The 25933-nt window shown below is 52.6% G+C and overlaps 1 protein-coding gene across 16 annotated transcripts in view, besides 3 other annotated features; it reads left to right on the forward strand.

Annotated features, from left to right (window-relative positions):
- CCDC33 (coiled-coil domain containing 33) overlaps positions 1 to 25933 on the forward strand; it is a 133474-nt gene that overhangs the window by 41694 nt on the left and 65847 nt on the right. For all 16 annotated transcript variants that reach the window (XR_001751401.2, XM_047433141.1, XM_011522085.4 and 13 more), the window contains 3 exons: positions 17748 to 17881; positions 21986 to 22095; positions 23650 to 23766. Coding sequence is in view for 15 of the 16 variants with exons in the window: in XM_047433141.1 (XP_047289097.1) it covers positions 17748 to 17881; positions 21986 to 22095; positions 23650 to 23766 (361 nt within the window). In the remaining variant the exon portion in view is untranslated. The remainder of the gene's footprint in view (positions 1 to 17747; positions 17882 to 21985; positions 22096 to 23649; positions 23767 to 25933) is intronic.
- Positions 264 to 1263: an enhancer, noted in NCBI's record as "H3K4me1 hESC enhancer chr15:74537297-74538296 (GRCh37/hg19 assembly coordinates)". NCBI's record gives its function as "activates a minimal SCP1, AML or CMV promoter by ChIP-STARR-seq in primed H9 embryonic stem cells {active_cell/tissue: H9 hESC(primed)}" and the evidence as "EXISTENCE:reporter gene assay evidence [ECO:0000049][PMID:30033119]".
- Positions 18609 to 19441: an enhancer, noted in NCBI's record as "H3K4me1 hESC enhancer chr15:74555642-74556474 (GRCh37/hg19 assembly coordinates)". NCBI's record gives its function as "activates a minimal SCP1, AML or CMV promoter by ChIP-STARR-seq in naive H9 embryonic stem cells {active_cell/tissue: H9 hESC(naive)}" and the evidence as "EXISTENCE:reporter gene assay evidence [ECO:0000049][PMID:30033119]".
- Positions 19442 to 20272: an enhancer, noted in NCBI's record as "H3K4me1 hESC enhancer chr15:74556475-74557305 (GRCh37/hg19 assembly coordinates)". NCBI's record gives its function as "activates a minimal SCP1, AML or CMV promoter by ChIP-STARR-seq in naive and primed H9 embryonic stem cells {active_cell/tissue: H9 hESC(naive and primed)}" and the evidence as "EXISTENCE:reporter gene assay evidence [ECO:0000049][PMID:30033119]".

A 25933-nucleotide genomic window follows, 5' to 3' on the forward strand; every position in this document is an offset into this window, starting at 1 on the left:
GCCTGGCACCAAGGCCTGCCACGCCACGTCTATGCCCACCTCACGGGTCTCACTTCTTCCAGAAAGGCGCCAAGGGGCAACACAATCTCCATCCAGCCAACCTTCGCTGGGGACACTGAATATTTGCTCAATCTTTATTATAAAGCACCCTCCAAGGAGCATGTCACCCCTAGACCTTCTATAGACAGACGGCGGGAGCCTTGGTGGCCTCCCACCAAGCCACCCTATACTTCCCCTCCCCCACCAATACTGGCACCATTCAGTTCCTGCCAAGAGTCTGTTGCCCACATTTCCTTTTGGGGAGTGCCTGCCCCAGCCCACTCACCAATGCCTGCTGAAATCCTGCCTTCAAAGCCTCCTCCTCCAGGCAGCCACCAGAGTTGAGCTCTCCCTCTTCTGGAGCTCCACAGCAGTGGTGACCCTGGTCTGAAGCACTTTATATCAACATGGTTTATGCACTCCTCTGGGGCTCCCTGAGGACGGATCTCCTCCTCCATTTCCCTCAACAATGCATCCAACATAGGCCTGAGCCCAAACTTAGGAGCCAAGGAGTGACTGAGGCCAACACCTGGTTACTATGATAAGTCCCTGCCCCCCCAGGGCCCCCACTGTGAAAGGGGGGTAGAAGCTGTGCCGAGAGCAACAGGTGAAACACTTGCCTTAAAAGCCCCATTTGTGCCAGCCCAGCTCCTCGGCCATCCCTCCCCCAACTCCATTTCCGTGGTGAGGGAAGCACAGGTGGTGGGAGCAGGCTTGGCAGGGAGGCTGGTTTCTAGCGGGGAGCTCGCCTTCTCCGCTCAGCTATTTCCATAAACCAATTATCGCCGATCATCTCGGGAGATTGAGGCCCTGACTGTCACCAATCCGGCCTGGGCGGCGGGGCGGGGAGCTGGGTGGCTGTGTGGCTCCTAGGCAGGCACCGCGACCCGCGCCATCACCCGGTTGCCATGGGAACGCGCGGCAGGAGCCTAGGCGACACGAGCCTGGGTGGGGGTTCGGAGAGCCGGGCACACCCCGAGTCCTCCTGCACCCTCCCTGTGGCTGCGGCACGTGGGGCGGGAGGGTGGGGACAGAGAACGCGGGGAGGGGGGAGGGGAAAGCACTTCGCTGCACCCTTCTCCAGCTGGGAGCAGCGCCCGGGCCAGGCTGCAGCCTGCGTCCCAGGGCTCCAGACAGGCGAAGCTGCCACCAGCTCGAGGTGGTGCTAATGAGATGCAAATGATGGGAGAAGGAAGGGCTTCTGAGAATGTGAAGGCCGAGCTGTCAGGACCTGAAGGGGGCTTTCAGTGCTCACCCCCAGCCCCAGGCAGAAACCCCAGAGGGAGGATCCAGACCCTCAGAGGCCATAGAACCTGGAAAGAATTTATATCCCTGCACATCTGATTACAAATAAACAAGTAACAAAGCACACAATAGGCATAAGAAAGTTCATGAAAGTTTTCGTTTTGTTCATGATGAATATTTCAATGCTTTTTAAAAATATGTATTTGTGAAGACTTCAATGTAAGACCTGCAACTGTAACACCCCTAGAAGAAAACACAGGGGAAAGGCTCCTTTACATTGGTCTTGGCAATTAATCTTCGGATATGACACCGGAAGTACAGGCAACAGAATCAAAAATAAGTGAGACTGCATCAAACTGAAAAGCTTCTGCGCAGCAAAGGGAATAATCCACAAAACAAAAAGGCAGCCTATGGTATGGGAGAAAATATTTGCAAAACATGTATCGGATAAGGAGTTAATATCCAAAATATATGAGTAACTCATACAACTCAATAGCAAAAAGACAAGTAACCCAATTTAAAAAATGAGAAAAAGACCCGAATAGACATTTTTCCAACAAAGAAATACAAATGGCCAACAGGCACATGAAAAGGTGCACATCGCTAATCATCAGGGAAGTGCAAATCAAAGCCACAAGGAGATAGCACCTCACACCTGTTAGGATGGCTGTTCTCAAAAACACAAGAGATAAGTGTTGGTGCGGGTGTGGAGAAAAGAGAACGCTTGTACACTGTTGGTGGGAATACGCAGTAAAATGGTGCAGCCATTATGGAGCACAGCACGGAGGTTCCTCAAGAAATTGAAAATAAAACTACCATATGATCCCGCAATCTCACTACTGGGTATATATCCAAAGGAAACAAAATCAGTATTTTGAAAAGATATCGGGCCGGGCGCAGTGGCTCACGCCTGTAATCCCAGCACTTTGCGGGGCCGAGGTGGGCGGATCACAGGGTCAGGAGTTCAAGACCACCCTGGCCAATATGGTGAAACCCCATCTCTACTAAAAATACAAAAATTAGCCGAGCGTGGTAGCAGGCACCTGTAATCCTAGCTACTAGGAAGGCTGAGGCAGGAGAATTTCTTGAACCTGGGAGGCAGAGGTTGCAGTGAGCCAAGATTGCGCCACTGCACTCCAGCCTGGGCAACAGAGCGAGACTCCCATCTCAAAAAAAAAAAGTAAAAGAAAAAGAAAAGAAAAGATATCTGGGCCTGGTGCAGTGGCTCATGCCTGTAATCCCAGAACTTTGGAGGCTGAGGCAGGTGGATCATCTGAGGTCAAGAGTACCCCTATATTCATTGCAGAATTATTCACAATAGCCAAGATATAGGATCAACCTAAGTGTTTGTTGATGAATGAATGGATAAAGAAAAAATGTCATATATATATATATACACACACACACACACACACACACACGTCATATACATATATTTGTATATACTTGTGTCATATATACACACACAATTATATATTGTATACATATATATCCACATATAGACAACATATACACAATGTAATATTATTCAGCCATAAAAGGGAGGACATTCTGCCATTTGCGATAATGCAGATGAGCCTGGAGGACGTTATGCTAGATGAAATAAGCTAGACACAGAAAGACAAATACTGCATAATCCCACTTAATGGAATCTAAGATAAACTCATAGATGCAGAGAGTAGAATGGTGGCTGTCAGGGGCTGGGGATGAGGGAAATGAGGAAATGTTGGCCAAAGGATACAAACTCTCAGTTTTGGGATGAGTAATTCTGGGGATTTAATATGCAGCAGGTGACTCTAGTTAATGATACTATATTGTGGCTGGGCACGGTGGCTCATGCCTGTAATCCCAGCATTTTGGGAGGCCAAGACAGGTGGATCACCTGAGGTCAGGAGTTTGAGACCAGCCTGGCCAACATAGTGAAACCCCATCTCTATTAAAAATACAAAAACTAGCTTGGCGTGGTGGTGGGCACATGTAATCCCAGCTACTTGGGAGGCTGAGGCAGGAGAATCACTTGAATCTGGGAGGTGGAGGTTGCGCTGAGCCGAGACTGTGCCAGTGCACTCCAGCCTGGGCGACAGAGTGAGACTCCGTCTAAAAAAAAAAAGATATTATATTATGTATTTGAAATGTGCTAAGAGTAGATTTTAAGTGTTTTCACCACATACACGAAAGGTAACTGTGAGGTGATAGATGTGTTAACTAACTTGATCATGATGATCACTGCGGAAAGTATATGTGTATCAAATCATCACTGTGTACATTTTAAATACATCTAAATTTTATTTTTTATTTGTCAATTATGCCTCAATAAAACAGCGAAAATATGTATATATATTATATATATTATATATAAGTTTACATTCTTTCCAAGCATTTTTTCTCATCTTTTTGCTGCCCCTGTTTTTTGGTACCCTGAGCTTAGTCTCCTGGCTTGGTTTCCTGCCCTCTGCCATCCCATCTTCTCTCACCTGAGGTTGGGGATGGATATCCTGGGAATCCCTGTCTCAGCCTGGATTCTGTCCTTCTCTCTGGGTTTGTTGCATCCCTAGCAGGCAGGACCACAGTTGCAGGGATCGGGGCAGGGGAAGTAGTGAAGCACAGACCTGAGAGTGCCCCAGAACTGTTCGTTCATTCATCCCCTTAGTGGGGAGCTGAAGAGGGTTCAGGCCCAAAGATGGTGCTTCTCTTGTTTGGGGCATGGCCATTTCACCCCTTAAGGAGGCACCAGGCTTGAGCCCATATAGTAATAGGCACATCCTCCAGCCAAAACTATTCCAGACCAGCAGGCACTTGGCTCATCTTGGGGGTCAGCCTGTCTTCATCTAAGCCACTGGTTGGCTTCCAATCTGACCCCACTTCTCCACCAATATAGCTTCTCTGTAGTCACCAGTGACCACCATCTCTGACCCTGCATCCAACGGGCATCTCATCTTTTGCGATCTCTCAGGTAAAGGAAATAATGTATACAGTGGTCCATTGCCAAGACAAAGTGCCTTAAATCAGCTTAGATCAGCAAACTACAGAAGAAACCGGATATATACTAGGCCCCTGCTTGGATAGCCAACGCCTGCTTGTCGGCAGCCCCCCACCCTCCCTGCTTAGTCGCCCTCACCAGAACAAGAAGTTTAGTCTAAAATGAAAGTTTATTAGTCTGCAAAATAGCTCATTTTGTCTGTTTTTATCAGCCCGCCCAGCTGCTTAGGTCATAAGCCAAATACTTGAGGCCGGGTGCAGCGGCTCACACCTGTAATCCCAGCACTTTGGGAGGCCGAGGCGGATGGATCATGAGGTCAGGAGATCGAGATCATCCTAGCTAACACAGTGAAACCCCGTCTCTACTAAAAATACAAAAAAAATTAGCCGGGTGTGGTGGCGGGTGCCTGTAGTCCCAGCTACTCGGGAGGCTGAGGCAGGAGAATGGCGTAAATCCAGGAGGTGGAGCTTGCAGTGAGCTGAGATCAAGCAACTGCACTCCAGCCTGGGTGACAGAGCGAGGCTCCGTCTAAAAAAAATAATAAAAAAATAAAAACAACTTGAATAGCCCCTGAGCTAACTAGGATTGCAGTGCATTGTGGGCTGCAAAAAATGCAATAAGACAACCCAAAAACAAACAAACAAACAAACTTAAAGCTAACAATCAATAGGTGACATCTGGGAAAACTGTGACCCCGCAGTATTCACCCTATGAGGAACCGGGGGAGAGACCCGTGCACTAGGGGTAAATTGCTTATTGAAACTGTGCTGGGTGTGCCTGCCTATCAGACACCCAATCTTGCAAGACCCGTGTTAAAAGTCTCAATTTCGCTGTTCCCTGGGTCTCTGAGTCCATTCTTTGGGTTTGGACGGGTGAATTTGTTTATTACACAGAGGCAGCAGCCCCTCCAGACAACTCAGTCTCTTTGAAGCCCTTTCTCCCCCTCCAAGTTACCCCACTCTCCCACCTTCCCCTATGGCCACATCTCTTGATCTCGTCTACCTGACCTTAAATGTTAGCCTGTCTCAGGTTTCTGCCCTATGTGGCTCTTCTTTCTCTAGCCTGTACTCTTTTTCCATGTGATCCCACCCCATCCTGGTGTCAGGAATCACATTCTTCCCTCATCCAATCCATCACCAAGTCATGTCCATGTCTCCCGGTCTCTCGGATTGAGCTGCTTCTCTCCACCAGCTCCACCACCGACTTAGGCCACCGCACTATTTCTCCAACTGCTCTTGGTTCCTCTACTCTTGCTCCCTGAAGATCCCTTCAAAGGCAGGTTACCATTGGGTACTGTGGTGCCATAGTACCAAAGGAACTCAGTGGCTTCCCATTGTTCCCAAAGTAAAGAGGATTCCAGGCTCAGCACGGTTGGGTCTTTGCCGGCCCCTCCAGCTCCCCAGCAACAGGACCTCCACCTCCCTCTCTTTGCTCCAGCCACACTGGACATCTCTCCGTTCTCTGAGCAAACCCTGTTCCCTCCCACCCTAGGCATTCTCAGAAACATTCTGAGAAACATTCCCAGAAACATTCTCCCTTCCCCTTTTCCCATCTCAGCTGTCCTCACTGATCTCCCAGATGAGGCCAAATCCTCCCTCATTACATGTTTTCATGCGACTCTGTACCAGGATATGTGCTTATGCACTTTATGTGATTATGTGCGTACTCTTTGCCAGTGCCTCCCCATCCCGCCTCCACTGTGCCCCACTAGTTCCGTGGACAACCACCAGGTCTGCTTTGCTCACCATTTTATTCCTATCATGAAACACAGTATCTGGAACATAGGAAGCTGTCACTAAATAATCGTCGAATGAATCTGGCCCTGTTTCTAGCTTGCTGTATGACTGTGGGAAAGTTACTTTGTCTTTCAATGCCTGAAAACCTCACCTGGGAACCTGTCTCAAAGGGCTATAGAGATGGTGGTGCTAGACAGTGTGAGATGCTGCGGGTCTAAAGCTCTACAGGGGGAAGGGGGAGTCCTGAGCAGGCTCACAGTGGGCACTGAGACCTATCATAAGAAAGCCACAGGACAGTGGAAAGAAGCCAGGCTGGGTACAGGAAGACCTAGCATCTGGCCCACTGCCCCTGACTCCCTGTATGAACTCAGGCCAGTCCTTGCCTTCTCTGAGCCTCAGTCTTCCCATGGCCAGGATGTAAGCTTTGGCCTGCATGCTGCTGCAGGCCTGCCTGGCTGGCTTGTGTTCTGGCCTGGGAAACACTCTCAGTTCTTTAGAGAAAACAAGAACCCCAGCTCTGCCACCCGAGACAGATTCTGTGCCCAGGTCTACTGGGCCAGTCTCCAGGCCCAGGGTGTCCCATGACTGGTCTAGGCCTGGCTCAGTGCCCTGGGGCTTGAACAGTACCCAGCACCTGTCACCCAGCCTGACACAGAGAGACCTGCCAGTCAGAGCACAGCAGGGACCAGGAAGACAGTGGCACTGACAGGCACGGGGTGCCCCAGTGGACAGGATGAGATATGGAAAAGGGGCTAGCCAGGAGATGGCCTGTGGGGTTCTGACCCTTGGCCAAAGGCTGCATGTCAGGGCTGCCAGCATTGGCAGCTGCTTCTTCGGCTGCCTGCTGCCCAGAGCTAATGAGTGGGGACAGAGCCAGGACTCGAAGGGGAAGGCGCTGCTTCCTCTGTGCATGTGGGGCAGGCTTGGGATGGCACAGGGGAGGTGGCACAGATCAGGGCCAGCTAGAGTCATACTCAGAGGATCCTTGGTTTTCTTAGATAAGCCTGAGAGCCCTGACCCTGGCCCTACACTGAGCTTGACCTTGATTGTAGACTGAGCTCAGCCCTGACCCTGGTCACAGACTGAGGCTGGCCTTGGTCACAGGATGAGCTCTGACTCTGGTGACTAATTGAAGAAGATGTTAAAAGTAGGACAATTGTTTGAAATCCTGGCAAGAGGGGGGATAAAGAAGGTTACAGTTATCAAATACTCACCATACCCCTGAGAAATAAGCTAGGAGTGTATTGTGTGTTTCATACAGTTTAATCGCCACCCAGTCCTATAATTGAGGTATAATATTATCATTAAACCTCATTTTACAGATGAGGTTCCTGAGGCTCAAAGCATTTCCATGACTTGCCCAAGGTCACAGAACTAGTTAGTACCCAAAGGAGGATGCAGGATCCAGGATTTCAAAATCTAAAAGCTCCCTCCACCTCATTCTTTGCCTTGATATTTCATGCCGTGGTTACCCCTTTTGGAAGGGGGGTTGTTGAGACAGGATGCTAACCCAGACTTCCAGAGAAGATGCAGTGACTAGTGTGGAGACCCATCCTGGGATCTGGAGTTCTCCTTCCTCCCTGTCTGGCTGGGGGCCTTCAGTCAAGGACCCCTGAAGGCAGGGATCTGGGCAGAGTGGGTGGAGGCTCACAATGACTCACAGGTGACCCATGGGCTTGTCTCAGCAGCCAGAGGGTTGGGCTCAGCAAAAATAACAATAACACAGTGACAGTGATCATGGGATAGTCCCAGGAATAAGGCAGCCCTCACTTGCTGATGATGTTCCACTCGAAGCTCACTGCGAGCTCGGCTATTTACACCCTCTGGTTCTAACGGTGCAGTCCTGGAAGCAGGCTGCGTTATTCCCATGTGATAGTGGAGGAGGCCAAGGCCCAGGGGAGAATGTGGATGTGTCTGAGGTCACATGGCTGGCCAGTGGGAGTGGAGCAGATGAAGATGACTATTCCCATCTGGCCGCTGGCTCCTACAGAAGCCAAGGCTCCTTCTCTTCCAGCAGGATCCCCATGGGAAAAAAGACAAGGGTGGGGAGCAGGCCTGGGGTGAGGCCTGGGAACCAGGGTCTTCATCTACCCTGCAGGGCCCCCACACCATGGTTTGATTTTCCACCCACACCTGCCCCCCATGACATCAGTTCCTGGAGACTCAGAACCTCAGAATTTTTGTTCAGTGAGAACTTCCCTTTGTCCCAGGGTTATAAACACAGCTGGTGTCAGTGGTTGAAGGATGGTTGGCCTGAGAACCATCCCCAGCCAGACCGAAGCCATAAGGATTCTTTCCAGATGTTCTCCCATCTCTGCCACCTGGGGCCCCTAAGGTGTTCTCATGCCTGAAACCCCCATTCAGACTCAAGAAGCATGAGTTCTCCCCCACAGGCTTCTTCTGGAATCCTGCATAACAGCCTCAGAGGGCATTCATGGGGGAGATTTGGGGCCATGAGGCAGGCCAGAGGGGGCCTTCCTGGTGTCCTCATTGCATCCTGCATGGGCTGTCTCCTCTGCTTACTCCTGAGCATGGGCAGAGCGGCTGACAGCCTCCTCCTCCCTCCCTGGTCATCATGAGCAGCCAGGAGGCTTGGTGATCCCTCCAGACTTTATGTAGCTTCCCTCTCCCTAGCCTGGCCCCCGTGGGTCCCAGGGTCACATGCCACAGGGTCTAGCTTGTAGTGGAGTGAGGGAGGCCATTGAGCAGGGGCTGGGGCTCTGGGCACCGATTAGGCTCCTCCTACCCCTGTGTATTCCCTGATTCTGTCATCCTTCCATGCACACACTTAAGTTTCCAGCAGAAGGAGCTGCCCTGGAATCCCGTTGATCTCCTCGTTCCCCCCCTCCTTCTCTGAGGCTCCCCCTATCCATCCAGAAACCTGTGAGATACTGAACACCATTATCAGGGAGAAGCTGAGCTCAGAGATGCTTAGGGGATGTGCCACACAGTCAGCAGCAGTGGAGCCGGGAGCCAGAATTCAAAGTCAATGTCTTCAGGGCCAATCTACTTATGCAAATCCTGTAGTTCCTGGCATGTGATGCAATAGAGAGAGGAAGCAACTGTGGCAAACCAGAGAGCACCTGGCTCATTCAGAGGAGTAGCCCCTGCCCGTCCTACTGATCTCTACATGGAAGAATGAGGGCATGGGTTGTCAACCCTCTTCATTTTTGTTTATGTTTAATTATTAGGTTTTTTTAATGTGTAGAGATGGGGTTTCACTGTGTTGCCCAGGCTGGTTCAAACTCCCGGCCTCAAGTGATCCTCCCACCTTGGCCTCACAAAGTGCTGACATTACAGGTGTGAGCCACCCTGGCCAGCCTCTCTCAATTTTATTTATTTTATTTTTTTATTTTTTGAGATGGAGTCTCACTCTGTTGCCTGGGCTGGAGTGCAGTGGTGTGATCTCAGCTCACTGCAACCTCTGCCTCCCAGGTTCAAGAGACTCTCCTGCCTCAACCTCTTGAGTAGCTGGGATTACAGGCGCGCGCCACCACTCCCAGCTAATTTTTGTATTTTTAGTAGAGATGGGGTTTCACCATGTTTGTCAGGCTGGTCTCGAACTCCTGACTTCATGATCTGCCCGCCTCAGCCTCCCAAAGTGCTGGGATTACAGGCGTGAGCCACTGCGCCCGGACGCCTCTCTCAATTTTTAAAGAGAAACCAGAAATCCAAATGTTTGTGTAAAATCAGCCAAGTTTTACTTTCAGGCCAAACACCTCTGGTCAGTGAGGATCTCTGGGCCCCTCATTGTTCCTCTCCTGAACCCTCAACCCAACTCGGACACCACCGGTGCCTCCAGCTTTGCTGACTGGTCCCCCTCTGCCAGGGGAGTGACCTCCCAATGGCTGTGCATCCTCCACACATGTATAAGTAGGCATTCTCCTTTCTTGAAGCCCCTTCTTTCCTCGCCTCCAGGACAACTCCCTCTCCTGATTTTCTACCCTGTCTCTGGCCACTCCACTGTGGGATACTCTTTGTCCCAGTACCCTGCGAATGTCAATGCTCCTGGCTCAGTCCTTGGCCTCTCCTCTGCATCTCTACCCTCCTTCTTTTTTTTTTTTTTTTTTTTGAGACGGAGTTTCACTCTTGTCACCCAGGCTGGTGTGCAATGATGTGATCTCGGCTCACTGCAACCTCCACCTCTGGGGTTCAAGCAATTCTCCTGCCTCAGCCTCCTGAGTAGCTGGGATTACAGGCGTGTGCCAACACACCCGGCTAATTATTGTATTTTTAGTAGAGACGGTGTTTTGCCATGTTGGCCAAGCTGGTCTCGAACTCCTGATTGCAGGTGATCCACCTGCCTCGGCCTCCCAAAATGCTGGAATTACAGGTGTGAGCCACCACGCCTGGCCTCTATACTTTTTAAGAGATCCCCCCTCACCTAGGCATCCCCCTTTCCCCCCATCCTGAAAGCCCCAGAATCCCTGGATCCAGCCCTCTCCTGAGCTCCAGTTCCATAGACCCACCTGCCAATATACGTCTCCACTCAGACTCAGCCTTCCTCATTGATCTCCTCATCCTCCCTCCTTCTCGAAACCTGTGAGATACTGAGCGCTGTTATCAGGGAGGAGCTGAGCTCAGAGATGCTTAGGGGATGTGCCACACAGTCAGCAGCGGTGAGCCAGGAGCCAGGACTCAAGCCCACGACTGGTGAGCCTGAACACAAAGCTGTCTCTCTGGTCTTCAGCAAGCCTGGCCTGGGAATGCTCAGGAGGCCCTGGGGTTTTATCCCTGGGAGGGCAGGCTGTGGCCTACCCCTTCCCTGTTCCCATACAAAGGTGGGGACAGAGGAGCAACTGGCCCTGAGTGAGGAGAGGAGCTAGTGGGCATGGCCCCCTCCCTCTCCTGTCGACTTCCCAGCGGTGTGCTCCTGCGGTGCCCTGTGGCGTTGGAGGAGTGGGGCCTAGGGACTAGCCGGGGACTGTGGCAGGGACTCTCAGGATGGTCAGTGTGGCTAACAAAACCAGACCTCGATCCCTCCACAGCACCCTGGAATGGGACAGAGAGACCAGGGGCCAGGCTGGACCGAGGCGCTCAGTGCCCCCTGGGCCTGGAGGGAGCCCAGTTCCCCCACTTTCCCCCCACAGCTGGGTTCTGCTTCCCCACTTTGGGGACACGCTCTTGGGACAGGACTTGGGATCTGAACCCTCCTCCCAGCCAAGAGCTATTTCCAGGACAGTTCTGAGGAGCTGCCACTGGCTCAGCAGCCTGGGCCAGTGAGTTGGCCTGGCAGAGCTTGAAAGGAGGGGCTGCCACTGTCCCACCTGATTTTCCAGTGGTCTGTCCCTTCTTCTTTCTTTCAGCAAACACCTGCTGGGCCCCACTTTGCCCAGGCAGTGGGAACTGAGCTCCAGCAGCGACAAGACAGGTCCCTGCCCTTGAGGGGTGAACAGTCTAGTAGTGGTGGTGAGGGTGGGGAGGCGCCAGGAATCATAATGCTGTCCCCACTCACTCATCCTTTGCCCACAGTCTCCCAGGAAGGCGGCCATCCAGGCTCCAGTCGCCAGCACTAGGGTATCGGAGCCCCTCAGGAGGCTGGGCTCTGTGTCTGAGCCAGGGAGTGGCCCCAGACCTCAAAACGTGGACTGAACACCACACGAGTTAAGCAGGGAATGAGAATCAGAATGACAGGAATCAGAAGAGTCCGGTGATTTCTGTGAGGTCAGGAAGTTCGACTTTATGTCTGGCCCACGTTCCTCCTGCCCTAAGGCTGCGTACGGGAGAAAGGGGGTACTCGAAAGAGTGGCTGTTCAGAGTGACCGAACCATTGAGAGGATTCCACGTCCTGGCAAGTCCTGCTGGGTTGCTCATCCAGGCCCACACCTTCCAAGGGGACTGTCATTGCCTCCCCATAGGACTGTGATGGTGACTGACAGGTCCACCCATTGCGGCCCAAGAAGGTGGCTCCCAGGGCCCCTCACCAGCTATGCCACAGGACAGGACACGGCATGACACTCCAAAGGCTGACAGATGGTGCAGACAGCGGCCCTTCCTGACCCTGCATCGCCTCCAGCCTCAAAAAGAGCAAAAAAGTATCTCTGGAAAACAAGGAAATCCCCTTCCCAGAAGAGGGTAGAAGGTGCAACAATGCCCAGAACACCGGCACTTAAGCCTGACTTTGGGCCATCACAAAGCTCTGTGGGCTGTGGCTTTCTCCTTGTCCGCCATGGGTGGAAAGGAGGGGTACCCACACTTTTGGATGAAGTGTGAGTAGTGGTGGGGTGGAGGAGCAGCATCCTTGTTTGACAGGAAGATCTTTGCCTTTGCTAGAGTGCTTCTCAGAGTTTCTCGGAAGGTGCCCTTTCTTTTTCCCAGAGCAGCCCCCATGCCCTGCAGGCAAGGGCAGGGGAAGAGCTGGGCCCTCAGGGACTGGGAGCTGCTGGCCTCCAGTTGGTGCCCTCCTTACTCCAGAGTCAGTTATTCTGTAAACTGAGGCCCACCTGCAGTGTTGTAGCACCATCAGGAATTAGTGATGCTTCATTAGAGTCCAATTAATAAATGAAACCCAGGATGAGAGTCCCTCGCGTTGCTGAGAATAACAGCCCTGCTCATGCCTTAAGTGGCAGCCTCCTGGGGCTCAAAACCCACAAGGACCAGCTGCCCTGCCGTCAGCATGGGGCTGGGGGAGGCGGCAGCACAGACTGGGGGCCTTGTCAAGGCTGTTGTCTGGTGAAGCGGGGGCGAGAAGAGAAGGGAGCTTCAGCACTGACTCCCTGCCTCAGATCTCAGCTCCTCCTTTGAGGAGTCCCTGGGCACAACCCCCTGCCCAGCAATCCCAGGGGAGCTTGGCTAAGGCCAGAGGTGTGAGGGCTGGGGCTCTTCCCTCCTGCCTGCCTGGCTTCAGAAGACACTGATTGTGGCCACGGCAAAAAGGGGCCTTGAGAGGGACTCGGGGGAGAACCACAGCCTCCCTCTCCTGACTCCCCCAACCCATGCTCCGAAGTCAGCACCTGCATCAGCCAAACAGCCCCCCTCAAGCCTCACCTTCTCTCCTCTAAGTGGAAAGATCCTCCAATCTATCTGTTCAAGCCCTGCCTTCTCCAGGTTTAGGGTCAGAAACACAGGAACCCAGACTTTGGCCACCCCATTCAGATGACTGTCTCTGCAGAAGCCAACTCCACACCTCCTGTTGCATAAGACTGGGCTCCTGGATTGGGAAGAGGTCACTGGGTTTTTCAGAGCTTCCAGGAGTGGAGGCAGGCCTAGCCTATGGCCTGGGAGTCTGGCAGCCTCTTGGACTTCTGGAGGATGGGGGAGGCAGGCCTCCCTGGCTCAGAAGTTGGCATGGAGGAAGCAGGTTGAGGAGAATTGCCCTACCTTCTCAGGAAAGATTGAGACCCAACCATTACACCTTGACAGCTGGCCTGCAGGACTGCCAGTTCCCTCACCTCCCTCTCAGTTTCCCAGGTGAGCCAGCAATGGGTTGTGATGGGCCAGGTCAAAGGTGCCCAATACCTCCTATTCCACCATCCATCCACTTAAAGGTCTGCTCCTTATCCACTATTCCCAGTGCCTGCCTGACTTCCCCAGTGCCAGGGGCTTCTGGGAACATCACTCTAGTCTCTCAGGATTTACAAGCCTGCCCAGCCAAGACCCCAGCAGCCACAGCAGATCTGAGTCAGGGCCCTCCCCTTTCCTTTGCTCTCTTGGTGGCTGTCCTGGGATTGGCACTCAAAACAAACCAGGCCGCCTGTGCCCCAGCTTCTAAAGCTCTGCCCAGGAGGCGGCCAGGTCTTGACTATTGTTCATGATTTGAGGCTTTGAGGGAGCCAGAGGCCAACAGGACAGGCAGGGCAGGTGGGGGAGGTGGGCTCAGGTGTGAATAGAAGACCCCAGAGGCAGCCTGAGGACTGGGTAACAAGAGTGGGTACAGTATGGTACTCACACCTCTCTGGGCAGCCTTTGTGCACGTGCATGTGTGCATGTATGTGTGTGTGCATGCATTTGTGCGCATGTGTGTGCATGTGTGTGTATGTATGTGTGGATGTGTGTGTGTGTCTCCTGGAGTGAGGGGGAAAGCGGCTCATGAGCACTCTTGCTTTCTGTCCATCAAATCCCATGCTTTTCCGATGCTCATTTCTTCCACTCACAGCTGCAGCCCCCGGGAACCAGATGACATATTTTCCCTTAGTCATGACCTTGCAGAAGGAAAGCAAAGTCCTTGTTCCCTCCCACTCACAGCTGTGCTTGAGCCTGGCCCCCTTACACCCTGCTGGGGTGGGGGCCCCAGGAATGCCTAGCTGGGGACTGGAGTTTGTCAAAGACACACACACCCTTCCAGCAGCCTGGAGGGTAGGCCAGGTTGAGGGAGGTTTATGTTTTCCTGCAGCTTGGTCTCAGGGCTGCTGCACTCTAAACCCAACTCCAGTCCTATCCTGGCATGGCTGCCCATGCTGTGGCTGGATTAAATCTGGCCCCGAGACAGCAGGCACCACCCACTAGCTCCTCCTGGCCCTGGATGCCTGGAGCCAACGGGTCCAAGTCAACAGGGCAGGTCTTTGGGGGGACAGGGAGGGGGGTCTCTCCTTGCAGACAGCCTGTGGAGAGGCCTAGGGAAGCAGGTCTTGGTGAGGTCCCCTGGGTTCTAAGACTGCATTGGGAGCCCCGAGAGAGCCTGGGGACCTGGAACTCAGCCACGTGCCCATCTGCGGGGTGCAGAATGGGGCTGGGAGCAGGGAGTGAGCTCATCCCCTGCTCCTATTCTGTGAAGAATCAGAGGCCCTTCTTGCTCTCCAGATTCTAGAATAGCATCAAGACCCGGAGGAGTCAGCTGTGCCAGGAAAAGCCATTACCCCGAGAGCCTCCCTCCACCTGCTAAAAGCCTCCCCCTTCCCCTGGGGCCTCCCCCTCCCACCCAGTTGCTTTATCTGCACTCACCTAGCCCTGATGACCTTCATATTAGATGGGGCAGGGAGGTGGGGAAAATAGTTGCTTAACTCTTTCTCTGCTGGAGGAAAGTCAGCACCTGCTCCCTTGCCTTGCCCCGTCACCTTTACCCACCTCTTTGCACCTGGGAATTCCTCCTGCCACCCTCCCAGGAGGGTTGGGAGGATACGAGGACAGTAGAAGACAGGCTGGCATGGGGTTCAATCTGAATCCTGTCACTATGTTGCCTGTGACTTCACACCTTCATTTGTGTCTTCTCTGTGCACACAGAGCCACATGAAGATCCCTGGGAATCCCCCAGGAATGTGTCCATGCAGGTGCAGTTTTGTGTCCAGCTCTGGGGTTGACATCTGGGTGCAGAAGGACTGACTTCTTCCTGACACACCCTTGGCGCTTCTGCTTTTCTGCTGTTTCTGTGCAGGTCCCTGAGGAGGGAGGCTGTGAGGCCTTATTGTGCACTAACTATATATCTATAAGTAGCAGATCGGGTGGCTGGGTAGCACAGGGAGGCTGCTGAGAGCCTGAGGTCTCTGACTTTGCTGGGGCAGCTGTCAGGAGCGGGAGCCTAGGCACAGAGCGTCATGGGAGGTACTTAGATTGCACCCCTTGGTCAAGCATGGTCACAGAGCCGGAGGGAAAAAGGGACCCGAGGGTGGAGGGAGCAAGCTGAGCGCCACGTTCCTGCCAGGCTTCTGCCTTCCCTCTCTAGCCTGGCAGCCTCCCACACACCACTTTGCGGGTGTGAGGAGTCCATTCTGCAGAGCCTGCAGGGGTGTGTCTGGATGGACGCTCATCTGAGAAGGACTCCGGCTCTCTGGGAGATGCCCCTTCTCACCCCAGCTTGTACTCAGTGCTCCTTCCCCTTCATGCTGCCCTCAGGCAGGTCCTCTTGCAAAAACACCCAAGCTGTTTTGTATCACAAATGAGGGAATAACATGAACTGGGGCTTTCTGGATGCCAGGAGCTGAACATGCTTTCTTTCCAGTCCTTATAACACTCTCTCAGGGCGGTACTATTGAAAAAGGAGGAACTTAGTAGGTGCAGAGGGGAGATGATCTCGCCAGGATAAACGCGGGCTCCAAACCCAGCTCTGAATCATTCCCAAGCCTGTGCTCTTTCCAGGATTCCACACCTTGGCCCGAGCAGCCAGACATTCCCAATTGTAGACCCAGAACTGGGGGCATGATGGGGAAAAATCACGCCACGGCAAAGGGGCTGGTCACAGGAGGGTCAATAAGGCTAAGCTCTCTGGTGCTATGGGGTAATAACAGGAATCATATTTATATTTTAATAATTTAAGGTACTAAGAATTATTAACACTTTCTTGGTACTTAGCAATGTGCCAGGCACTACACATATTCATTCGTTTCCTTCCCACAACCGCCCTGCAGGCTGGGCACCGTTAGCATCTCTGTTTTATAGATGAAGAAAATAAGGCACCACAGGTTCTGTACCTTGCCTAACATCACACAGCTGGCACGGGGTAGAGCTGGGATTTGGAACCCAAAATGCCCAGCTGCAGGGTCCTTCTTACAATCACTGTGTCATACTGCCTCAGTCAAAGCACAGCAGGAGTCCTCAGTTGACCCCTGGAACTTGGAGATGGAACTCCTGCAAGCATGGTCACCCACAGAAGAAGGGCTCCTGCAAGCATGGTTACCCACAGGAGCAGGGCTGTGATGAGTGGGAGCAAGGAGCCAGGTCACAGCGTCACTTAAGTCTAAAGGGCAGAGGGAACAGTGAGGGCCGGGGGACTCCAGAGGGCTTCTTGGAGGAGAGGAACAAGCTGGGCTGGGAAGAACCATGTTGGTATTGCTAATGCACAGAGAAGGTGGGGTCTGAGCCAACTGGCCTGCCCCACACTCCCTTTGGGGTCCTTGAGGGTGAAACAAGGGCTGGTGGGGATGACGTCTTTGTTCCCATCCTGGGGTACCATTAGTGCGTCTTGCCTCCCTCCGCAAGGTGTGTGGTGTGGCTCCCCCTGCTACAGGATCTCTGGGATGATTCCTCAGCCCATGACTGCTGCAGTTAATGGAGCAGCGCTGGGGATGGCCCTGGCCTAGTAACCTCTTCTACAGAAGAAGTATTCACTCTCTCCCTGAGCCGTTTGACGGCTCTGGATCTCCGATATCTGTGGGGTGCACTGGGATGCAGAGGGCCCAAGCTTACCTCTCACCTTATACAGCCTGGTCCTGAACAATCTGAGTGCTTGAGGGCTGGAAAGCCCTTTCCACCACCCCCTGCCCCCAGGCCTGGACCCAGCTCCAGGTTTCCAGCTCCAGGGGCCCAGCCCAAGGCCCTGCACACAGCAGGCATCTCAGAAGGCAGCAGGATGTGCGTGCTTCATTGCAAGCATTTAGAACTGGGATTGCCGGGTGGAGCCTGGAAATCTGGGCCAGAAGTTTAGGGAAATAAGGTGAAGAAGAGAGGACAGCCAGGCGGGGCATCGCACAGCCACTCTGCCCAGAGGATTCCTCCCACCGAAACAGAACCTAGAGAAGAGGGAGGCCATGCACACGGGCTCCTGCTGGAGAGCCCTCCCTGGCAAGGGCTAGGAAGTCAGGCGGGCAAAGCATCTACCCTCTACCCCCATCCCTACCCCTGCCCTGAGCCTCTCTAAGTGAGAGGCTTGTGACTAAGTGAAGGCCTCAGTAGTGGCCAGCGAGACAGTGTGGTCACCTGGGCTGGCAGGAGAGCTGGGGGAGAGGCCTGGGATGACACAAGTGTCTATGCATGGGACAGAGCTCTCCATATTCTGTCCACCTTTCACTCAGATTTATGGACAGTGGAGCCTGGGATGGGGACAAGCAGCAGACAGAACCCCTCCCTTTGACTCACCCTGCCCCTGCTCTCCCCAGGAAAAGCACATCTGAGGAAAAGAACAATCAGAGCTCCAAGGCAGTCACATCTGTGACCTCAGAGCCCACCAGAGCCCCTATCTGGGGGGACACGGTGAATGTGGAGATCCAAGCTGAGGATGCAGGGCAAGAAGGTAAGCAGGGGCTGGGCAGGGCCGGCATGTGCAGGCAGGGTGTGAACACAGCCAAGGACTTAGAGCAAGAAGCAGGCTCCCTCTCACTGCAGCTGGTAGCCACCTGAACACCTCCTTGGGCTCAGTTAAAAGCACTTAGAAAAAATCATAATACTGTCACGCCTCATCTCCCCATCCTGCTCGAAAAATGAGTTGTTCCACATAAATGAATTTTCCAGACAATGCAAGCTTATCTTTTTTATGACTGTTGTTATTATTTTCATGGCTGTTATTAGCGCTGTCTCCTACTGAAACAGGACATTACAGCTTCCTGGCACGTCCCCACACATCACTCATTGGAGTCACCACCTCCCAGGAGGAGCAATGCTGCTCCCATTGCTTAAGAGAACATCGAGGTTCAGGGAATTTAACTGGCTTAAGCTTAAGACCAAGGACCAAGGACTCAGCATTGCATGTTCTTACTGCAGCTCCAGGGTTCCCGCTGCTTCCATTTGATTTTTTAAAAAATATTTGAAATGTCCCTAGAATGGATCCCTATTCCTGCCTAGTCCTCCCCAGGTGTCAGCCTGAGCCACGAGGTGCCCATGTACACACATGCATGTGCACACTTATATTTACTTTCACACTGTGGGTCTGTTGGATTTCCATTCTCCTGGGGGAGCTCAGGCTGGACACAAGGGAATACTGATTGGCTGATGCCCGGGTAGGGGGGCATCGCATCTGGCACTGCCAGCACAGACTGGAGGTGCCTGGCGATGTCTCTGATCTTATCTAGTCAGGACCTCAGACTTGCTTCTTGCAGGTGGTCTCTCCCTGAGAGGACAGGCTTTGCCTCTCCCCCTTGAAATCTTGCCAGGACCTAGACAGATCTCCTTGTTCTCCTCACACAGAGCAGAAAGCCAGCTGAAGACTATGGGAGAGGAGAAAGGAAACAGGAAGGGGAGCCTCCGTAAAAGGGGAAGGAGCTAGTTCTAGGTCAAGCCAGATAATTTTTCTTTTCTGCCTGTAAAGGGATAGGTGGAGCTGTTGGGATGCTTTAAGAAGATGCAAAAGAGGAGGAAAAATTGACCTAGGATTTCATGCAGAGGCACATGCGTGCCTGTGTGTGCATGTCTTTGTGAATGCCTGCATGCTGGTTCATGCGCATGTGTGAATGTGGTGTGTGCTGTGTCTGTACTTGTAGGCATGCATGTCTGTGTGTCTTATGTGTGTGTGCGCGTGGGTGTGTCTAGCTGCAACAGTGTGGTTATATGTGTGTCTGGATGAATCTGGATGGTGGTGTATGCCTTGCAGTGCACAAGTATGTATAGATCGTGTGTGTGGCTCTGTGTGTATGCATGCATGTATTTATGTGGCTGGTGGGAAGTTAGAGGTTATGATGAGTGGACCTGAGCTGGGATCCTGCCCTGGGCTCTACATACTTGGGGTAACAGAGGAAAAAATGTAATAAGGTCAGTGACCCCAGGGCCCATCTGTGCAGCAGAGAGAGGGGCAGGACTAACTGCAGGAGGGACAAGAGAGTGGGGAGGCCTCATGGGCAGGCAGGGAATATTGGCAGGCATCTCATTGCAGATTGAAGTAGCTGGATGCTTGTTGGAACCGGTTGCTGTGGTGATGTCTGCGGTGGGGGTGGGGGAGATGGAGGCCAGGCCAAGAGGCGGGGGAAGGGTGGGAGGTAGCTCAAGGATGTGTTAATGAAAAGCAAAGGGGAGTTTCAGACCCTGTGTCAGGGCCAAAGCAGGCGGGTGGCAGAAATAGCTTGTTGGCCACACAAAGGGAACGGTGGGAGGCCGGAAGGGCACAATGCCCAGAGAGGAAGCTGATGAAGTGTGTTTGTAGCATGGAGACAGGAGCAGGGAGGAGTGGCTGTCCATTACCCCCAATTCCAGCTCATCTGCTGGCTGCCCACACAGAGCTCCAGGAATAGCGGGTGGGGAAAATGTACGGCACTCACCTCTCGTTCAACCTTGGCAAATCCCAACTGGATCTGGGGACTCTTGGTCCATGGCGAGTTGGCATAAGGGGCTTCAGCCTGCACAGCTCCTCGTGGTGCTTTGGCTGGGAGCACTGGAATCTCCCAGTTGAATTTCCTCAGGTCTGCCTACATCAGGGTTTGTGTTTGGAGAGCTGCAGATGCTTAAAGAGAAGGAAAATAGTGACAACCACGAGGAGCATTTGCACAGAATGTTACAGCTTGAAAACACACTCTTCTCCCTACAACAACCCAAGGGGAGAGACAAGGCTTTTTATTAAAGTGTTGACATTTTGAAGAGCAGAAACATGAAGTTCAGAGAGGTTAAATTACTTGCTAACAGTCACAGAGCAAGTTAGTATTCTGGTACTAGAACCCAGGTCTGCTGACTTCATATCCCTTACCTCAATCTCCCTTCTTCAAGCCAACCTCAACACCTTCAGTGCCCTCTCCCCCTTCTTTCCTTTGAGCATGGATCCCATATGACAAGCTCTTGAGATACCTTGGCAAGTGTTCAGGGTCGCTGTGGGGAAGACAGAGAAAGAAGAATACTTAATAAAGCCCTCAGCTTCCTTCTCCACCCCAACATCCAAATGACCCATCCAGTTCCAAATGACCCATCCAGTTCCAAATGACCCAGCGGCTGAGCCCGCTGAACCTGCTGAGCCCTCAAGGGCCAGCTGCTGTCCCTGGTGCTGAAACCCCTTGTCTCAAGAGAAGCAGAGGGCAAGGGTCTCCCCAAGTGTTTCCCTCAGGCACACCCCTCCGCCCCATCCTCCCTTTCCTGTTCTCTGTTTTGTATCCTTTCTTACCTCATCTCTCTCATTCTTTCTCCATCCCTCCTCTATCCTTCTCCTCCTTTTCTCCCTCCCCATCTCTTCTTCCTCCTGAAATCATAGACTTCCAGAATATAAAGATGCCTCAAGTGTCACCAAATTCAACCCTTCCTATCATCTACTTTCTAGATGTGTTATGTTGATCAAGTTATATAACCCTCTGAGCTCCATTGTTCATATTTTAAGAACAGAGATGATGATACCTACCCGGGGGGTTGTGGTGAGAATTTGTTGGAATCATGGCTGAGACATGCCTGGCACATAGTAGATACTCACTAAATAATCATGACAGTCCCGCTCACTAAACAGGACTGTCATGATTATTTATAGGACATTGGTGTTCTTCTTAAAGTTTTTACCGGCCGGGTGCGGTGGCCCATGCCTGTAATCCCAGCACTTTGGGAGTCTGAGGCGGGTGGATCACTTGAAGTCAGAAGTTTGAGGCCAGCCTGGCCAACATGGCAAAACCTTGTCTCTACTAAAAATACAAAACTTGGCTGGGTGTGGTGGCGGGCACCTGTAATCCCAGCTACTTGGGAGGCTGAGGCAGGAGACTCTCTTGAACCTGGAAGGCAGAGGTTGTAGTGAGCTGAGATCATGCCACCACACTCCAGCCTGGGTGACAAAGTGAGACGCTGTCTCAAAAGAAAAAGTTTATACCAATATTCATGCCATTTTATGAGAAAATATAGTCTCTTTGGAGGGTGTTTACTAAGTGGTGCATTATTCTTAGTATTTAGACTAGTTTTCCCTTACTTGTAGTAGACTTTTATTGATAGCTGTATTAAAGGATTTCCTTGAGCAGATCACTTTTTCTTACTGAAATTCAGTTTCCCCACCTGCAACATGTGTGAGATAATCTCTCCCCATCCTGCCTCAAGAGCTGGCATAAGTGTTTGTGACCAAGGGAAAGAGTCTTATTCCTGGAAAGAGGTGCTATGCCTGCTTGCCTGTGTATCTCAGTGTGTGCACATGTGTGTCTGTTGCCACAGGGGACTGGACTCAGTTCTGTGTGTGTCTATCTCTGACCTGGGAGTTTCTAGACCATGGGAGAAAATTGCATGTTGGGGTCCTAACAGCTGCCGGCATGGAGCTTTGCCCTGTGCAGGGGCTCAGACTGTGCTTGTGGGTTTGTGTGCACAGGGGTGATCCACACATGTGTGTGCATGTTGATTCCTCAGTGTGGCCCCTGCTCCCTACTCTCAACAATGTCTCTCACCTCTCACTGTCTCTCCTTACTGGGAGAGAAAGGGATCCATTTAAAAATAAACCTGGGCTCATTTTTTCTCTTTCCAGATGTGATCCTCAAGGTGGTGGACAACAGAAAGAAACAGGAGTTGTTGTCCTACAAAATCCCCATCAAGTACCTGCGTGTCTTCCACCCCTACCACTTTGAGCTGGTGAAGGTGAGTCAGAGGCCTGGGGAAGTGCCGGGAGAGCAGGTGGGAACCACCTTGAATGTCCCCAGCTATTCCCTCGGAGCAGCCCTGAGCATCCCACACCCACCCACAGCATGACAAGTCTAGGACCATGTGGGGCTCAGGAAACATGGCTCCTGGTACATACACAGGAATGGTGTCTACAAGAATTTGGAATTCTCCAAATTCATCTCTGTAAAAACAGCTGATTATTATAGGACAACTGCCACATTAAATGAATATACCAATTAAAGATAGATTTTGATTACAAAAATGTTAAAAGAGCGGATCTAAAAATCAAAGAAACACAATATTTACCGAGTACCCGCTGCTTGCACGCCCTGTGCTAGACATTTCACACCCCCTCTCTAATCCTCAAGGTAAATTACATTTTGCAGACATGGGACTGGGACCTGGGGAGAAAAATCTCCTCCTCCTGGGTCACAGAGCAAGTGAGCGGCAGAGTTGAGGGTGAGCCCAAGTCATGCTGTCTCCCAAGCCAGTTCCTTCTGAGCTGCCTCCACATGCTGCCTTGGCCAGAAGGCCCAGGAGAGTTGGGGGGTACATGGAATAAAGCATTCCCTGGAATGCACCCCTGGAGTGAGCAACTGGGTCCAAGCCATGGACTGAGGGGCCTGAGGCTCCTCACTCCAAGGTTGGGCCTCCCAGGCCAGACCCCTGCCTGTCCTCCCTCCTAGTGCTGAAGGGTAAGGGGTAGAATTCACTCTCTCATTGCTCAAGGACTTATGAAGCACCTACTATGTGCCAGGTAGTGAGCCAGAGATGAACAGAAGCATCACATTCCCCTCCCCACTGTGCATTCCAGACCCTGAAAGTGGTTGAGAGTAAAGAACAATGTGAAGCCAGACTGTCGGGGGTCCTAGACCAAGTTTGTTGCCTCCTAGCTGGATACCCATGGAAGCCACTTGGTCCCCAGGCCTCCATCCTCACTGGCAAAGCTGGCACAGTCGTTTTGAGGATCTCAAGCAATGATAGGCAAGGTTCCTGGCATACAGTAGGTGCTCAGTTTGGTCAGTTACCCTCCCCCATCCCTCCTCCGGGCCAGCACTGAACTTTCTTCTAAGCATTTCTTCAATCATGGCACCAGGGGGCTTTACCTTCTCTTAGGCCCCATGAGGAACCCCAATCCCAGGGCTTCAGGATGGGCCATGCAGGGAAGTAAAAGAGAGATGTGCTACTCACCCTGGGAGACTCAGCACTTGAGCTGTAATTCTGGGGGCATCACCCAGGCCCCCTGGCTGTCTGTTCACTTACAACCCAGGCCTTGTTATCACATCTTTACTGGAAAGCAGACAGGCAGTGGTCCTTGTGAGGGTGATGAAATATTCAAATGGAAAAGGGAAGATTTATTATATTGATCTCCTTGGAAGGGCTCACAGGGACCATGAGCTTTAATTATCAGCTCGGAGCCCCAGCGGAGCAATGCCAAGTGATTGTCTGCAGAGGGCTGGATTTATGGCCAGGATCTGCCCCTTAGACACTCTCCTTCCTCTGTGTCTTCTGCCCCAACCCTGTCTCCAGCCCACTGAGTCTGGGAAAGCCGATGAAGCCACTGCCAAGACCCAGTTGTACGCAACAGTCGTTCGGAAGAGCAGCTTCATACCCCGCTACATCGGCTGCAACCACATGGCTCTGGAGGTACCAGGGCTGGGGCCCTCTGGGGTGGTGGTGGGGGTGGGAAAGGGCCAAGCTTTGAGCAGGCCCCACGCCTTGCCCTTAGCCCCCTCTGGCTGACCTGAGGGTGTGGAGCAGAGATGTCAAGAATGGAAAAAGCAACCAGGCCTTTCCAAAATAGCAAAAGGAGTTGTGAAGACAAGCCCTTTGGCAGGGATGACAAGGATGAAGATGCTCAAGCCTCTTCTCCTTCCCTCTCTGTCTTGGAGGTGGCGGGGAGGGGCTCAGCCACACTGCTGCTCCTGGTGTACCGTCTCTGTGCTGCAGTGGGGACCAGAGCCTGTCTCCCCGAATCTTATGCTAGGGGCAGGGGAGAAGCCCCGTGCTCCCCCTGAGCCCACAGCCCAGCAGTTTCCTGCTCTATTCTTCCCCTCCTGGGATAGTGCCTTGGCCCCCAAGCAAAAGTTTAGGGCCTCCTTGAGCTTTCCTTCAGCACTGTGTCTAAAGAGGTTTGACTGGTCTGGCGATTAGGTATTTAGTTTATTCATTCATTTATTCATCCAGCAACTGTTTACAGAGCCTCTTCCATTAGCCAGGACAGGGCTGAGCCCACCTTGGGCCTGGCCACTGCCCCTTGACCCATCACCATCCACCCCCTAGGCCAATTAGCAGCTTTGGGAGGAACTCTTGATGCTCAAAGCAGACATGATGCAGGGACCTGGCCCCTCTCCCATTCCCCCCAACTTTCAAACTGCCCATGGGTGACAGATTCAAATTCAGCTATGGCCTGAGTATGATCAGGGTGGGAGCCACAGGACCCAAGCTCTGAGCTTCCACCTACCCAAACATGGCTGATCTGTTCCTATCCTTCCCACCCCCCTACTTCCCACCAGCACCGTGGGCCTGGCAGGGAAGGAAGCATTCTTTTGCCTTCTTTCACAGCCAGGGACACTGAGACCCAAGGGGAGTATGGTATGGGAGCCAAAACTCCTAACCCACATTTCTACTCCCCTACAGCCACCCCTCTGATGCCAGCATATCAGACCTACAGGCGCCCTCTGCTCCCCGCCACCTTCTATCACGCCCTTTCCTGAGGACAGCCAGCAATTCACACACACACAGAACAAGGAAGAGGGGCAACAGCCTGGCCTTGCTGTCCCCAGGCCGCACCCCACAGGGAGGAGGCCACATCCCCAAGACACAGGCAGAACTTTAGGGCTGCTGTGGAGCTGCCCCACCCCACCCAGCCCTCTGACTTGCCTGGTAGAGCGGTAGAGTAGGGGCCTTCTCTGGCTCACAGCACCCTGCCCACTCTCCTGCCCCAGCACAGATGCCCTCTCCATCCGTGCGACAGGTATGGCCACAGAGCAGCTGCCTGCTCCTGATGGTGAGCGCATGGCAGGAGCAGGAACTTCTGCTACTTCCCAGGCTGTCATGAGCAGGTGTACTTGGGCAGCTGTCTCATTCACACCTGATCAGAGTCCACACAGAACAGGTGCAAATTAGCTGCCACCACCCCCTTTTTAGTCTTACACCTGCTGGGGAGCCTGTGAGCAATAGGGCCTGCCAGCCTCCAGTGAAATCCCTCAGCCCCAGACCCCAGACCCATCCAAAGTGTGAAATGTACCATCAGAGATTCAATCCTTTGAATGTGATGAAGGGATTCAGTCTCCAGAGCCCTCAGTGAGAGCTGCGAGGCCCTAAGGACTATTGTACGTGCCCATCAGCTCACACCTGTGTGGGGTTAGAGGTGGGAAAACCAGCTGAGATGGGTATTGAAAGAGGAGCCTGAAAGGAGGGTGCGGAGGGAGAAAAGGGAGAATGATCCAGAACAAGCCTCACTCCTGGGCCCTCGCCAGCCACAATGGGTTGGTGGGAGCTGCAGGGAGTCTGAGTAGAGGGATCAGCATGTGCAAAGACCCTGTGGCAGAAATAAGAGGGGTAAGTGGCAGGAGTAAAAGAGTCTGGAGCAAGAAGACAGGGGCTGGGGGCCTGTCGGGAGACACGGCAGAGGGGCTTGTGGGGTGTCGGGCAGGGAATAACGTGACCCAGTTCATTTTTAACAAGAGCACTTTTGCCATCATGTGTCAAATTGCCTGGGAAAGAGGATGGATTAGGGAAAGGAACAGAAGTGGAGAGGCTAGTGAGGAGGCAGAGGAATCGAAGGAGCAAGAGGAATGAGAGCCGAGTG

The sequence above is a fragment of the Homo sapiens genome, chromosome 15, assembly GCF_000001405.40.
Source record: "Homo sapiens chromosome 15, GRCh38.p14 Primary Assembly".
NCBI lineage: Eukaryota > Metazoa > Chordata > Mammalia > Primates > Hominidae > Homo > Homo sapiens.